This window comes from Homo sapiens, chromosome 2 (assembly GCF_000001405.40).
Source record: "Homo sapiens chromosome 2, GRCh38.p14 Primary Assembly".
NCBI lineage: Eukaryota > Metazoa > Chordata > Mammalia > Primates > Hominidae > Homo > Homo sapiens.
Window position 1 is genome coordinate 187,662,217 of NC_000002.12, and position 17,278 is coordinate 187,679,494.

The 17,278-nt window shown below is 39.0% G+C and overlaps 2 annotated features.

The window, feature by feature from the left end:
- Positions 8,341 to 8,842: an enhancer, noted in NCBI's record as "OCT4-NANOG-H3K27ac hESC enhancer chr2:188535284-188535785 (GRCh37/hg19 assembly coordinates)". NCBI's record gives its function as "activates a minimal SCP1, AML or CMV promoter by ChIP-STARR-seq in naive H9 embryonic stem cells {active_cell/tissue: H9 hESC(naive)}" and the evidence as "EXISTENCE:reporter gene assay evidence [ECO:0000049][PMID:30033119]".
- Positions 13,552 to 14,364: an enhancer, noted in NCBI's record as "OCT4-NANOG-H3K27ac hESC enhancer chr2:188540495-188541307 (GRCh37/hg19 assembly coordinates)". NCBI's record gives its function as "activates a minimal SCP1, AML or CMV promoter by ChIP-STARR-seq in naive H9 embryonic stem cells {active_cell/tissue: H9 hESC(naive)}" and the evidence as "EXISTENCE:reporter gene assay evidence [ECO:0000049][PMID:30033119]".

Here is a 17,278-nt window from a genome sequence, read left to right on the forward strand (position 1 = left end):
TAATTCAGCCTCTTTCCGAGTGTTATGTATGGGAGTATAACCTCTCACTTTGCTGGAGCTGCAGCTGCTTTTGCTGGAAAGCCCGAATATCTAAGTCTCCAGGGTCTCTATGCATGCCCGAGGGGCTGCTCTGCCGAGACTCCACATAGCTGTCTGTCAGACTGAAGATTGAAGGCCCTGGAGGAGTGGGTTCACAAGGAGATCTCCTGACCTAAGGGTTGCCAAGTTCTGTTGGAGAAGCATTGTTTCCTGGGGTTGCTCATTCACTCATCACTTCCCTGGGCAGGGGAGAATCCCCTAGCTGCTTGTTGCTCCCGGGTGGGCAGTTGTTCTGTCTTTGCTTTTCTTCATTCTCTGTGGGTCAAGTTGTTTCCTTGATTAATCCCAATGTGAGTACCTTGATGTTTCTGTTGAAGTTACTGTATTTACTTGTCTCTTCTGCTCCTCTTTGTGAGCGCCATGCATACTTGCTGCTTCTAGTTGGCCATCTTGGCCATTCCTTGAGATTCACTTTGTAAACTCTTTTAAATATTTTGGGAACTTCTTATTAAAGAACCTAAAATCAATGAGGTCAAAGTTGAGCCTTGAGATGAGAGACTAACCTCAGATTTTCTTCTGAAGCTTTCTGCTAGACTCCTTTCTTTTTCTCCAGCAAGCACAGCATGATGTCCACTGTTTGAGGAAGCCAGGATTTTTCTATTTTGTTGTTCCACTGTGTAGGAGGTATCTAGTTCCAAGGATACCTCATGGCTCAAGACAGTTTTGACTCCATTTTTAATCCAGCCTGTGAGCAAGCATCTTATTTCCCCAAGTCTAATAAATCAGACAAAATTATTGACTCTTTCAATCCTCTACTGACAAAAATATTTACTATCCCAAGTACTCCTGTCTATCTCTATCCTACATAAATTCTGACAAATCATATTGTGCATATAAACGTAATTCACAGTTAGAGATCTATTTTCTTGTAATGTAATTTGGTCTAAAACATAGGATGATGACACGTCCTGTATGAATCAATTTTGTCTCATCATGCAAGCAGCACGATAACCATATACTCAAATACCCGGAGCTAAGTGTATGTGTGCATGGTGCACGATAATAAGTGAGTGGGGTCTTAAGGGAAAATGGACCCTGATAACAAAAATAATGGGCCCAAGGTACCTGGTCTCATACGCTGATCTCATCAATCTCTGACATTATCATAACTAGATATGTCTGGGTGAAGTATTTAGTGAAGGAGAAGGGACTTAAAATATGCACAGCCTTCTGAGAAAATTATTTTAATTTTGGAGCGCTTTACACGACAAAGCCTTGGAACAAAGTTCTTTTTGATCTATGTATGATATGGATCCCAAAGCAGAACATTTCACACTTCATTTAACTTTCACAATTTATCATTCCCAAATAATACATCTAACTGACATGCTATAAAATATTTTTGGAAGAAAAATCTAAAGGTCTATGGATGAATGATTGAGGGAATTGGAAGCCAGGTAAACCACACACCCGGATCATTTCGTGAGTATTAGAGATAATTGTCATGGTTCTGAGGCTAGGGCCTCAAGATGGAAGAAGGAGAATGGGGGATGAAGAGATCAGGCTGATAATGTGACTGTTGAATGACAAATTTGTTCATCATACAGAGTATAATATCATCCATATGTTAGCTTTTAAATCATGTCCTTTATACATTTTCAAAGAAATAACTGCTGCCAGTTACAAAGGCTATTGGTAGTCATTTACATTTAGTCATAGCTCACCTGCTAGAGGCCTAACCCACAGCTGTAAATATAATATGATAATATTAAAACCACAATCACTGTTACTATACATGTAAAATACTTAAAAATAATTGTATATCTGGCCTGCATGACTTAGTGTTTTAAGACTTTTTTTATTCATATATATATCTTAGTATTAAGGAGTTTTTTTATCTTTATATTTTGTTTATTCTATGTTCATATTAATATAAATATTTAAAACTTAGTTTCTATTAATTTTTTCATAGACATATGCCATCTATTTTTGTCAGCTTTTAAGATCTATGTCTAACATTTAAATATTAAATAGTTTTATCTCCATTTTAAAAAAAGCTAGTGTTGAATTACACATAGAGTTTTAGAAACTGTATCTTCCTCATGAAAGAACTTTTGTAGAAGTAACTTGTGTATTAAGTACATAGTATTAAGTAGAAGAATAAAGATGATGCCTGATGTGCTCAGAGATGCTCAACCTTTGACCCCCTAGTTCTTGGCCTCAGCAAAGAGTCCAGTGTTCAAACTGAATGCAGAAACAACTAGACAACTAGACTTCGAAGGGTGATGAAGCCTTGGCCAAAGGGCATTTCAGAGGCTATAGGTGATGAGGAGGTGAGCAAAGGCTGATGGACTTCTCTGACTTTTGTTGTGATGAAAATTCCAAGGAATTTTTCATCATTGTTACTATAGGTGGTTAAGATTTTAAAGTGTCTGTTTTTAATGTTTCTAACTTAAATTATAAAAAGGTATGGAAAATGTTTTCTTTCATATTTCTAAGCAGAAACAGGCTTTTAGAAATACTCTGAGTTTAAAAATGCATAGGCAAACTCATGGATCAAGGTGTCCAAAGGAAAGTTAAATTTTCTCAATGATTTTCTGAACTCTGGATACTTTATATTTTTACTTATTTTTTTTTTTGTTGGTAACCAACATCAGCTCTTTTCTACCAAAAGCAGGTCTCTGTGAAGAATATTAGAACAGGGATGACAACCTTGGAGTAACCACTGGCATTCTCAAATCATATTACTAAGCATCCAAAATATAGTATATTCATTACTCAAAGTCAGCTGCACATATGAATGTGGTACTATTCCTTACTCAGACTTTTACATTGCATTTACAAATGTTGTCAATCAGCTAAAGTAAGTTTTATTTCTAGACAGATGAATAAATAAAGGAATTCATTGCCATTAATTTGAAGAGTTAACCTAGTTATGTATGAGATAGCTGTATGCACTGTCATTCTAAACAATTTAAAAGAAATTAGGGAACAGCTGACTGGGGAGCTTTAGAAGCTAGTGGGGAGAAAAAGAATAAAAAACAAAGAATAAATAATAGCCACAGGGGAAAGGGTATCACGAATCCTTACTACAACTTTCTAGGATAATTTTCTGGTGTACTTTAAAGATATACACTCTTACTAAAATTATTTACATTTGAAAGATGTCTTAGTACCATAAAGCAAGAAAAATAAACAAAAAGCATATAGTATAAAGAAAAAGTAGAGAACTTATCGTACTTATTCCCAGATTGTATGATTATTTAAAATCCATGAAATCTACAATACAAAAAAACTAAAACTAATAACTGAAATAAGCAAGATCTCAGTATAGAAATTCAATATCAGTTGTATTTCCATATATAAATAATAAATACTTGAAAATAAAAATGAAAAATAATGTTTATAATAGAATAAAAGGACATGTGTAACATATGATACACAAAATTCCCACACTAAAATTAGAAACATTACTGAAAGCAGTTTAAAAGACCTAGATAAATGGAGAGGTAGTCTATGTTTCTGAATTGGAGAACTCAATATTGTTATCTCATTCATTCTTCACAAATTGGTCAATAGAATCAATGCGATACCAGTCAAAACCACATCCAACTCAACTGTAGAAATGTCCAGGTGATTCTTAATTTATATAAAAATGCAAAGGTCCTAGAATAGCTAAATCCACATTGAAAAATAAGGCAAAACTGGAAGAATAACAACATCTGATTTTAGTACTATTAGCAATACAGGAATTCAAGCAGGGTAATATTAATGTGAGGATAGACAAATACAACAGTGGAGGGAGTAGAGAGCCTAGAAACAGAATCACCAATTTGTGTTTGACAAGGGCACCTGAAAAATTCAATAGGAAAAATTCAATGAGAAATAGTGCTGGAGGCTGCTCTGCCTATGGAGTAGCCATTCTTTTATTTCTTTACTTTCTCAATAAACATGCTTTCAGTTAAAAAAAAAAAGAAAGAAATAGTGTTAGAATAAGTAGATATTACATGAAAAATATTGAATAAACCTTGAAAAACCTACCTTAGACCATACACAAACATTATTTTGTGATGTTTTATAGACCTAAATATTACATCTTAACCTAGAAAATTTTGGAAGAAAATATAAAAGACTATCCTCATGACTGGAGTAGGCAAAATTATCTTAGAAAGGAAAGGAAATCTTTGAGCATATTAGAAATTGGTTAAGTAGGACTTTATCAAATTAAAACTTACGTTCTTCAGAAGACTGGTTTTAGAAAATGATGGCATGGATTTGGAGAAGATATTAGATGTGTGTGTGTGTGTGTGTGTGTGTGTGTTTGAGAGAGAGATCATTTATATTTAGAATATATAATGAACTCTTACAACTCTAAAAAGACACCACCAAATAAAAATGTATGAAAAGTTGAACACAGATCTCAGACCAAAAGATATACAAATAGCCCATAGTACAGACATGTCTCATTTTATTATGCTTCACTTATTGTATTTTGCAGATGCTGCATGTTTTACAATTTGAAGGTTTGTGGCAACCCTGTGTCCAGAAAGTCTCTTAGCACCATTTTTCCAACAGCATGTGCTCACTTCATGTCTTTGTGTCACATTTTGGTAATTCTCACAGTATTTCTAATCTGTCCATTATTGTTATATCTGTTATAGTGATCAGTGATCTTTGATGTCACTAAGATAATATTTTTGGGGAGCTACATAAGATGGTGAATTTAATTGATAAATGTTATGTGGGTACTGACTGCTCTACTGACTGGCCGTTCCACTGTCTTTCTGTCTCCTCAGGACTCACTATTACCTGAGACACAACAATATTAAAATTAGGTCGGCTAATAACCCTACAATGGCCTCTGAATGGTCAAGTGACAGGAATAATCTCACATCTAGCACTTTAAATCAAAAGTTTAAATTATCAAGCTTAGTGAGGAAGGCATGTCAAAAGCCAAGATATACCGAAAACTGGGACTCTTGTACCAGTTAGCCAACTTGTAAAGGCAAATAAAAAGTATTGAAGGAAATTAAAAGTGCTACTCTAGGCCAGGCATGGTGGCTCACGCCTGTAATCCTAGCACTTTGGAAGGCCGAGATGGGCGGATCATTTGAGGGTGGGAGTTCGTAACCAGTCTGGCCAACATAGTGAAACCCCATCTCTACTAAATATACAAAAATTAGCCAAGCATGGTGGCATGAGAATCACTTTAACCAGAGAGGCAGAGGTTGCAGTGAGCTGAGATTGTGCCACTGCACTCCAGCCTGGGCGACAAAGCAAGACTCTGTCTTAAAACAAAACAAAACAAAAAAAGTGGGGGCTGGGCACAGTGGCTCACGCCTATAATCCCAGCACTTTGGGTGGCCAAGGCAGGTGGATCACCTGAGGTCAGGAGTTCAAGACCAGCCTGGACAACATGGTGAAACTCCACCTCTACAAACATACAAAAATTAGCCAGGCATGGTGGTGGGCTCCTGTAATCCCAGCTACCCAGGAGGCTGAGGCAGGAGAAATCGCTTGAACCCGGGAGGCAAAGGCTGCAGTGAGCCAAGATTAGCCATTGTGCTCCAGCCTGGGCAATAAGAGCGAAACTTCGTCTCAAAAAAAAAAAAAAAAAAAAAAGTGAAACAGCCATATTGCTGATATGGAGAAATACTTAGTGGTTTGAATGGAAGATCAAACAGCCACAACATTCCCTTAAACCAAAACCTAATCTAGAGAAGAGCAACCTAATGCAAAACCTAATTGAATCTTACCTCTTCAATTCTACGAAGGCTGAAAGAGATCACAAAACTGCACAAGAAAAGTTGGAAGCTAGCAGACGTTGTTTTATGAGATTGAAGGAGAGAAGTCATCTCTGTAAGATGAAAGTACAAAGTGAAGCAGTAGGTGTTGATGTAGAAGATGCAGCAATTTATGTAGAAGATTTAGCTAGGATACCTAATGAAGGTGGCTACACTAAGCAAAACAAATTTTCAGTGTATACAAAACTGATGTCTATTGGAAGAAGGTGCCTTCTAGGATTTTCGTATCAAGAGAGGAGAAGTCGATCTCTGGCTTCAAAGCTTCAAAGACAAGCTGATGCTCTTGTTAGAAACAAATGCAGCTGGCGACTTTAAGCCAATGTTCATTTACCATTTTGATAATCCTAAAACCCTTAGGAATTATACTAAATCGACTTTGCCTGTGCTTTATAAGTGGAACAACAAAATCTGTATGACATCCCAGCTGTTTACAGCACGGTTTGCTGAATATTGAATGCCTACTATTGAGATCTATTTCTCAGAAAAAAAAAGATTCCTTATAAATATTACTACTGGTTAGCAAGGCACGTGGTTACACAAGAGCGCTGATGGCGATGTACAAGGAGATTACTGTTGTTTTCAGGCCTGCTAACATCCTTTCTGTGGCCAATGGCTAAAAAGTAATTTTGATTTTCAAGTCTTATTATTTAAGAAATACATTTTGTTAGGCTATAGCTTCCATAGATAGTGATTCCTCTGATGGATCTGTGCAAAGTAAATAGAAAATCATCTGGAAAAGATTCACCATTCTAGATGTCATTAAGAATATTTGTGATTCATGAAAAGAGGTCCAAATATCAACATTAACATGTTTGGTAGAAATTGTTTCCAAACCTCATGAATGACTGAGGGATTCAAGACTTCAGTGGAGGAAGTGACTGCAGATGTGGTAAATAGCAAGAAAACTAGAAATATGAAGTGGAGCCTAAAGATGTGACTGAATTGTTGCCATCTCACTTTAAAACTTTAACAGATGAGAAGTTGCTTGGTATATGTGATCAAAGAAAGTGATTTCTTGAGATGGAATCTACTCCTGGTGAAAATGCTGTATACATTGTTGACATGACAACAAAGGATATTTAGAATATTCCACAAACTTAGTGGATAAAGCAGCAGCAGGGTTTGAGAGGATTGATACAAAGAAATCTTACATGAAAGAAATAGTCAATCAATGCAGCAAACTTCATTGTTGTCTTATTTTAAGAAATTGCTACAGCCAGCCCCATCTTCAGCCACCACAACCCTGATCAGTTAGTCAGCAGCCATTTAAATAGAGGCAAGATTCTCCACCAGCAAAGACTATGACTTGCTGAAGGCTCAGATGATCACTAGCATATTTTAATTAAAAGGTATTTTTAAAATACGATAGGCATATTATGTTTTTAGATATAATGCTACTGCACACTTAATGGACTATAGTATCTGCACTGGGAAACCAAAACATTTCCATGACTTGCTTTATTGCAATAGTCACTTTATACCACTGTTCTGGAACTGAACCTGCAATATCTCCAAGTATGTCTTGGGATAATGGAATAATACATTGTCAGTGAATAGTTATTTTATATATATATATATTTATTATATATATATATTTATATTATATATATGTATGTTTATTTAAGACAAAGTCTCGCTCTGTCACACAGGCTGGAGTGCAGGGTGCCATCTTGGCTCACTGCAACCTCTGCCTCCTGGGTTCAAGCAATTCTCCTGCCACAGTCTCCCAAGTAGTTGGGACACTTCACCATGCCCAGCTAATTTTTGCATTTTTAGTAGAGATGGGGTTTTGCCATGATGGCCAGGCTGGTCTCAAATTCCTGACCTCAAGTGATCCTCCAGCTTGGCCTCCCAAAGTGCTGGGATTACAGGTGTGAGCCACCATGTTCAGCCAACAAATAGTAATATTTTGAAAGGAGTTTTTTTTTTTTTTTTTTATGAGCAGCAGTTCTCAATAGTGGGCTGAAAATATAAAATAATTTAAAATAATTTTGTAAGATAACATTAATAAACATTTGAGTGAATATCTCTGTAAACTAAATTCTGATTTCTCATTATCATAGTTTAGTTTCACTTCTGAATTCATAAATATGAAATCTGCAGTACATTTTTTAAAAAAAGTTTCTCACTGCTTGCAGAGGAAAAATAATACCTAGAAGAATACAGCAAATTATATAAATAAATTTATATAAAGACTTAAATCCTAAAAAAAAAAATACGGAACTCTTATCCTTTAAATTACCAAAGAAACATTACTCTTTTAGTTCACATTAAGTAAAATTATTTTACATTAGCTTTGCTGTAATTTTATATTCATATTAATATTTCCAAACTCAATGCCTTTGAAATTATAGCAATGAAACTTTAATAGCTAAATGGTAGGAGAAAAATGAATACATAGCCAAAAACCACGATTGTAGCTTTCATGCGCATCCGTGTGAAGAGACCACCAAACAGGCTTTGTGTGAGCAATATAGCTTTTAATCACTTGGGTGCAGGTGGGCTGAGTCCGAAAAGAGAGTCAGCGAAGGGAGATAAGGGTGGGGCCGTTTTGTAGGATTTGGGTAGGTAAAGGAAAATTACAGTCAAAGAGGGTTTGTTCTCTGGTGGGCAGGAGTGGGGGTCCCAAGATGCTCAGTGGGGGTGCTTTTTGAGCCAGGATGAGCCAAGAAAAGGACTTTCACAAGGTAATGTCATTACTTAAGGCAAGGACCGGCCATTTACACTTCTTTTGTGGTGGAATGTCATCAGTTAAGGTGGGGCAGGGCATATTCACTTCTTTTGTGATTCTTCAGTTACTTCAGGCCATCTGGGCGTATATGTGCAAGTCACAGGGGATGCGATGGCTTGGCTTGGCTCAGAGGCCTGACATTCCTGCCTTCTTATATTAATAAGAAAAATAAAAATAGTGTTGAAGTGTTGGGGTGGCGAAAATTTTTGGGGGTGGTATGGAGAGAGAATGGGAGATGTTTCTCAGGGCTGCTTCGAGTGGGGTTAGGGGTGGCATGGGAACCTAGAGTGGGAGAGATTAAGCTGAAGGAAGATTTTGTGGTAAGGGGTGATATTGTGGGGTTGTTAGAAGAAACTTTGTCATGTAGAATTATTGGTGATGGCCTGGATACAGTTTTGTATGAATTGAAAAACTAAATGGAATAAGAGAAGGAGAAAAACAGGTATAAAAGCACTAAGAATTGGGAGGACCCAGGACATCTAATTAGAGAGTGCCTAAGGAGATTCAGCATAGTCCTGCCAGCAAAGATTATTTATTTGCTTCAAGAGTTTAGAGTGGCGGTTTGGGGATAGCACCAGGAGATATCAGCTGTGATGGCTTGGAGAAACAGTCTAAACTGGCAGTGTAAACAAGAGCAGGTCATGTATGAGTAGTTGAGAATGGTGAATAGGAGTATGACTAGACAGAAGATAGTAGGGATGACAAGTTTTTTGGGGCACAGTCTAAGTTGGTCTGGTGTCGAATGAGACTGGGACCTAATAAAAAGGAGCGTCTATACAGGAGCTTAAGTGGGCTGTGCCTTGTAGCATTCTGAGGACAGGCCTGACTTCTGAGAAGCGAAAGTGGTAAAAGTATTGTCCAGTCCTTTTTAAGTTGGTGGCTGAGCTTGGTGAGGTGTGTTTTTAAAAGACCTTTAGTCTGTTCTACTTTTCTTGAAGATGGAGGACCGTAAGGGATATAAAGGTTTCACTGAATACTAAGAGCCTGAAAAACTGCTTGGCTGATTTGACTAATAAAGGCTGGTCTGTTATCAGACTGTATAGAGGTGGGAAGGCTAAACTGAGGAATTATGTCTGACAGAAGGGAAGAAATGACTGTGGTGGCTTTCTCAGACCCTGTAGGAAAGGCCTTTACTTATTCAGTGAAAGTGTCTATTTAGTCCAAGAGGTATTTTAGTTTCCTGACTCGGGACATGTTGAGTAAAGCTAATTTGCCAGTCCTGGGTGGGGGCAAATCCTCGAGCTTGAAGTGTAGGGAAGGGAGGGGGCCTGAATAATCCCTGAGGAGTAGTAGAATAGCAGATGGAACACTGAGAAGTTATTTCCTTGAGGATAGATTTCCACGATGGAAAGGAAATGAGAGGTTCTGAGAGGTGGGCTAGTGGCTTGTACTATAGCATAGCCTGCCTTTGCTGGTGTGTGGCAATTAGGCCTGGTGGAACTGCCATCAGTAAATCAAGAGTGATCAGGGTGAGGAACAGGAAAGAAGGAAATGTGAGGAAATGGGGTGAATATCAGGTGGATCAGAGAGATACAGTCATGGGGGTCAGATGTGGTATCAGGAATAATGTGGGAGGCCGGATTGAAGTCCAGGCCAGGAACAATGGTAATTGTGGGACTTAACAAAGAGTGAGTACAGCTGAAGGAGCCGGGGAACAGAAAGTATATGCGTCAGGTATGAGGAAGAAAATAGATTTTGGAAGTTATGAGAAATATAGACAGTGAGTTGAGCATAGTTTGTGATTTTTAGGGCCTCTAAAAGTATTAAAGCAGCAGCAGCTGCTGCACACAGACATGAGGGCTAGGCTAAAACAGTAAGGTCAAGTTGTTTGGACAGAAAGGCTACAGGGTGCGGTCCTGGCTCTTGTGTAAGGATTCTGACCGTACTTACCATGCCTAGGAAGGCAAGGAGTTGTTCTTTTGTAAGGGATTGAGGTTTCGGAGATTAGTCGGACACGATCAGCAGGGAGAGCACGTGTGTTTTTACGAGAATTATGCCGAGATAGGTAACAGATGAGGATGAAATTTGGGCTTGACTGAAGTAATGGGGGCCGTCTGTGAAGCCTTGGGCAGTACAGCTCAGGTAATTTGCTGAGCCTAATGGGTGTCAGGGTCAGTCTAAGTGAAGGCAAAGAGAGGCTGGGATGAAGGGTGCCAAAGAATAGTAAAGCATGTTTGAGATTCAGAACAGAATAATGGGTAGTAGAGGGAGGTATTGAGGGTAGGAGAGTATATGGGTTTGGCACCATGGGGTGGATAGGCAAAACAATCTGGTTGATAAGGCATAGATCCTGAACTAACCTGTAAGGCTTGTCTGGTTTTAGGACAGGTAAAATGGGGGAATTGTAAGGAGAGTTTATAGGCTTTAAAAGGCCATGCTGTAGCAGGCAAGTGATAACAGGCTTTAATCCTTTTAAAGCGTGCTGTGGGATGGGATCTTGACATTGAGTGGGGTAAGGGTGATTAGGTTTTAATGAGATGGTAAGGGGTGCGTGATCGGTCGCCAAGGAGGGAGTAGAGGTATCTTATACTTGTGGGTTAAGGTGGGGGGATACAAGAGGAGGACGCAAAGGAGGCTTTGGGTTGGGAAGAAGGGCGGCAATGAGATGCAGCTGTAGTCCAGGAATAGTCAGGGAAGCAGATAATTTAGTTAAAGTGTCTCCGCCTAATAAGGGAACTGGGCAGGTGGGGATAACTAAAAGGAGTGCTTAAAAGAGTATTGTCTAAGTTGGCACCAGAGTTGGGGAGTTTTAAGAGGTTTAGAAGCCTGGCCGTCAATACCTACAACAGTTACGGAGGCAAGGGAAACAGGCCCTTGAAAAGAAGGTAATGTGGAGGGGGTAGCCTCCGTATTGATTAAGAAGGGGATGGGCTTACCTTCCATTGTGAGAGTTACTCGAAGCTCGGCGTTTGTGATGGCCTACGGGGCTTTCGAGGTGATCGGGCAGCATCAGTCTTCAGCCGCTAAGCCAAGGAGGAGTCAGTCAGAGAGCCTTGGGCCAGAGTTCCAGGGGCTCTGGGAGTGGCTACCAGGTGAGTTGAACAGTCTGATTTCCAGTGGGGTCCCGCACAGATGGGACATGGCTTAGGAGGAATCCTGGGCTGCAGGCATTCCTTGCCCTGGTGGTCAGATTTCTGGCACTTGTAGCAAGCTCCTGGGGGAGGAGGTTCTGGAGGAACGCCTGGCCACTGCGGTTCAGGCATTTGGAAGTTCTTGTGTGCTGGAGATGTGGCTGGGTTTGTCTCACAGTGGAGGCAAGGAATTGCAGCTTTTTTCTATTATTGTACACCTTGAAGGTGAGTTAATTAAGTCCTCTTGTGGGGTTTGAGGGGCAGATTCTAATTTTTGGAGTTTTATTTAATGTCAGGAGCAGATTGGGTAATAAAATGTATATTGAGAATAAGATGGCCTTTTCATCTTTTAGGGTCTAGGGCTGTAAAGCGTCTCAGGGTTGCTGCCGAATGAGCCATGAACTGGGCTGGGTTTTTATATTTGATGAAAAAGCCTAAACGCTTCTGATTTGGGATAAAGAAAAAGGAGCATTAACCTTGACTATGCCTTTGGCTCCAGCCACCTTTTTAAGAGTAAATTGCTGGGCAGGTGGGGGAGGGCTAGTCATGGAATGAAACTGTAAGCCAGACCAGGTGTGAAGAGGGGAGGTGATAAAAAGATTACAGGGTGGAGGAGCAGAGGCTGAGGAAGAATTGGGACCTAGCTCGGCCTCGCAAGGAGGGGAGAGGTCAGATGGGTCTGTAGAAAAGGAAGATTAGAAAGACTCAGCGACGCTTGGGGTTGGTACCGAGGGGACAGGCGGGAGGGAAAGAAGATTTGGGAGGAGTTGCACTGGGCACAGAGACTAGGAAGGGACTGATGTGTAAAAGAATGCCTGTACGTCAGGCACCTCAGACCATTTGCCTATTTTACTACAAGAATTATTTAGATCTTGTAGGATGGAAAAATTGAAAGTGCCGTTTTCCGGCTATTTGGAACTACTGTGGAGTTTGTATTGGGGTCAAGTGGCATTGCACAAGAAAATAAGACACTTAGATTTTATGTCAGGTGAGAGTTGAAGAGGTTTTAAGTTCTTAAGAATACAGGCTAAGGGAGAAGGAGGAGGAATGGAAGGTGGAAGCTTGCCCATAGTGAAGGAGGCAAGCCTAGAGAAAAGAGTAGAGACACGGAGAAGGGGTGGGGGTTTCTCGCCCTCCAGAAAAGCAGAGAATGGGTTGGGACACTGAAATAAGGGATTGGGGCACAGAGATAAGAAGTTGGGGTGTGGAAATAAGGGATTGGGGTGCAGAGATATAAGAGGTAGGGGTGCGGAAAGAAGGGATTGGGGCACAGAGATATAAGAGGTTGGGGCATGGAAATAAGGGATTGGGTGCAGAGATAAGAGGTTGGGGCACGGAAATAAGGGATTGGGGGTTCTTGCCCCCTAGAAAAGCGGGACTTGCCGCTAAGGGTGAAGGAGAAGGGGTTGAGGAGTACTTGCCCCTCTCCCAGAAAAGCAGAACAGGGGTAGAGACAAGGAGAGAAGGGGTTGGGGTACTTCCCTCTTCTCCAGAAAAGCGGGACTTGCCGCTAAGGGTGAAGGACCAAGGCAGGCGTCCCTGCGTGGTCTGACACCTTTGAAACGTGGGTGAATAGTCAGAGAGGTGTCCCTGCAATGATTAAACACCAAGGGAAGGCTGCCTTCCCAGTCCATGACTGGCGCCCGAGTTTTGGGTCCACGGATAAAATGTGTCTCCTTTGTCTCTACCAGAAAATGAAAGGAATTGAAATTAAGGGAGAGATTGAAGTGTGGCACCAAGATTGAAAGGAGAAAGAGGTTGAGGGATAGTGAGGGAGGTTGGAGAAGAGAGTAAAAAGAGGCCGCTTACCGGATTTGAAATTGGTGAGATGTTTCTTGGGCTGGTTGGTCTGAGGACCTGAGGTCATAGGTGGATCTTTCTCATGGAGCAAAGAACAGGAGGACAGGGGATTGATCTCCCAAGAGAGGTCCCCCGATCCAAGTCATGGCACCAGATTTCTTGCGCGTCTGTGTGAAGAGACCACCAAACATGCTTTGTGTGAGCAACGTGGCTGTTTATTTCACCTGGGTGCAGGTGGGCTGAGTCCGAAAAGAGAGTCAGTGAAGGGAGATAAGGGTGGGGCCGTTTTATAGGATTTGGGTAGGTAAAGGAAAATTACAGTCAAAGCGGGTTTGTTCTCTGGCGGGCAGGAGTGGGGGCCGCAAGGTGCTCAGTGGGGGTGCTTTTTGAGCCAGGATGAGCCAGGAAAAGGACTTTCACAAGGTAATGTCATCAGTTAAGGCAAGGACTGGCCATTTACACTTCTTTTGTGGTGGAATGTCATCAGTCAAGGTGGGGCAGGGCATATTCACTTCTTTTGTGATTCTTGAGTTACTTCAGGCCACCTGGGAGTATACGTGCAAGTCACAGGGGATGCAATGGCTTGGCTTGGGCTCAGAGGCCTGACACATAGTATACTGAAAATTCAGAGGTCTTAAATGTTCCTCTTTGTAGCGACTGTCCTATTGTGACATTATGCTTTCTCTTAGTCTAATTCCTTCTTTTGTGCTCTGAGGGATTTAAATTGAAGTCTGAAATAGGTGAACCAAACATTCAAATAAAATCCTTCATTTGAAAATACTGGCACACTGAAAAAAACCTGGCACACACTGATATACGTGAAGCTTCAGTTTGGAGTTTTCATTTTACAATTTGTTTTGAGTATTATTATTAGCAATTTTTTGGATATCACAAAAGCAGATTATCTACTGCAGCACTTTGATTAAGAACATCCAGAAGCAAAGCTTGTAGTCACCTCTGTATATATGTCATTTCATATTCTTTTTGTTACAATGAGGTGCTTATTCAATCCCTTGAATACAAGTTATAGAATACTTTAACATAGGCATTATTTAAAACTTCCATTATAGTCTTTTAAAGTTGCTTTACTTTAAAATATTTATTACTTAGGCATAGAAAAAAACATAGAAATAGTATTTTTTTTAAAACCTGTAAACAACTCCAGTTTCGACAATGGATAGGTCACCCAGACAGAAAATATGAAAACAACAAACTTGAACAAAGCTATAGACCAAGTAGACCTAACAGAGACATACAGAACATTCTATCCACCAGCAGCAGAATACACATTCTTTTCAAGTGCATGTGGTACATTCGAACATTCAACAGGATAGATAATGTTAGGTGCCAGAATTTAAGCCTGAAAGCATATCAAGTATTTCTTCTGATCATAATGATGAAACTAGAAATTGATAACAGGAGGAAAGCTGAAACATTCACAAATATGCGTAAATTAAACAATGTACTCCTGAACAACCAACCATTCAGTGAAAGTAGAAATCAAAAGGGAAATTAAAAAAAAAATCTTGAGACAAATAAAAATGAAAACACAACATACCAAAACTTACAGGATGCAGCAAAAGCAGTTCTAAGAGAGAAGTTTTTAGCCATAAATGCCTGCATTAAGAAAAATAAAATGATCTTAAATAAACCACCTAACTTTACATATCAAGGAACTAGTAAAAGAAAAACAAAGCCCAAAGTAAGCAGAAGCAGGTAAATAATAAAGATCTGAGCAGAAATAAATAATATAGAGGCTATGAAAACAATAGAAAAGATCAACCATAGTAAGAGCTACTTTTCTGAAATGGTAAAATTGATAAACCTTTAGACTGAAAAAAAGATTTAAATAAACCAGAAATTAAGGAGACATTACCACTAATATAACAGAAATACAAAGGATCACAAGAGAAAAAAATGACCAGTTATATGTCAAGAAGTTGAATAACCTAAAGGAAATGGATAAATTCCTAAACATGTACAACCTACCAAGATTGAATAATGAACATAAAATCTCAACAGAAAAATAACGAGTAAGGAGACTGAATCAGAATAAAAAGTCTTATGTTGAAGAAAAGCCCAGGACCTGATAAATTCATTGCTGGGGTCTGCCAAACATTTGAAGACCTAATACCAATCCTTTTCAAACTCTTTAGGAAAATTAAAGAGGAGAGAATACTTCCAAACTAATTTGATGACGCCAGCATTACCTTGATCCCAAATCCAGACAAGGACACTATGAAAAAGAAACCATAGGCCAGTGGCCTTTTCACTGATGAACATAGATACAAAAATCTTCAACAAAATACTAGCAAGCCAAATTCAACAGTTCATTAAAAAGATCATTCACCATGATTAAGTGGAATTTATGCCTGGGTTGCAAGAATAGCTCAACGTACACAAATCTGTAAATGTAATATGCTGTATTAACAGAATTAAGAACAAAAAACATAATCATTTCAATAGATGAAGATAAATCATTTGACAAAATTCAATATCCTTTCATAATAAAAATTCTCAACATTTAGGTAAGGAAGGACTATAATTCAACACAATAAAGGCTGTATATTACAAGCCCACAGCTAACATCATACTTAAAGGGGAAAGGTTGAAAGTTTTTTCTCTAAATCTAGAACAAGACAAAAATTCCCACTCTCACCACTGTTATTCAGCGTAGTACTGGAAGTCCTAGTCAGAGTAATTAGGCAAGAGAAAGAATAAAAGGATTCAGAACTGGAAAAGAAAAAGGTAAATTGTCCCTGTTTGCAGATGACATGATCTTATATATAGAAAACCCTAAGGATTCCACCAAAGGGTGTTCAAACCAGTACATCAATTCAGCAAAGTTACAGAATACATAATCAACATATGCAAATTAATAACATTTCTATATAATAAATTATTTTTGAAAACCTGATTCCTCCTTATCTCTTTCTGGAACACTTAACAAATTTATGTTGAACGTTTTCATTTTACTTTCATGCCTTTCAATTTCTCCTTAGCTAAATTTCCTTAATCTACCTTCCAGTTTACTAATTTTATCTTCCTAACCTGAGGTTAACCTAATGGATTAAAATTCTAATTCAATGAGTTAAATAATTGCAAATTCTGAATTTTTTCCCAAATTTTCCTATTATAATTTTATAGTTGTTGTTTTATTATAGTTTTAACTTATTTTCATGTCTGATTATTTAAACCTCTATAAGATTGTGTTATTAAAAATTATTTTAGCTTTATACTTCCTGTTTGCTGATTCTATGGTGAGTTATTATTCACATGCTTTATAATGTGAGAAATTATGACTTAATCGAATGAAGTTGCACCTGTGATAATTAAGTTCAGCTTTGCATGAGCTTGTTTCCCTTGGGAATAACGTCTGGCAAATACCCTAGTTTGTCAGCCTGGGACCAATTTTATGCACATTTGTCAACATCTAAGTTTGGAGACTATATGGATAATATAAATTCTAGCCCCAAGGAAGAGATCCTTTCCCTCTCATATCCCAGGCAGATTTAGAAAACGGTCCCTTTAATTTCTCCATGCCAGAGGTTTCCTTGTTTCTAGAACACTGGAGACAGCTCTTTTAAAATTATTTCCTTCATATGGCAATTGCAATTCTAGTTCTGACCTTGAATGAACTGAAGGACATTTATCCTGTTCCTGGATGGGCATGAAATACCAATCTTGTGGTCTACCAAGTAGGACAAGTACCTAAACACATTCCCATGCACCTACACACACACACACACACACACACACACACACACGGACACACACACAGACACAGACATGGACACACATGCTCTAGAGCAGTTAGAGTTCCATTTTCTAGC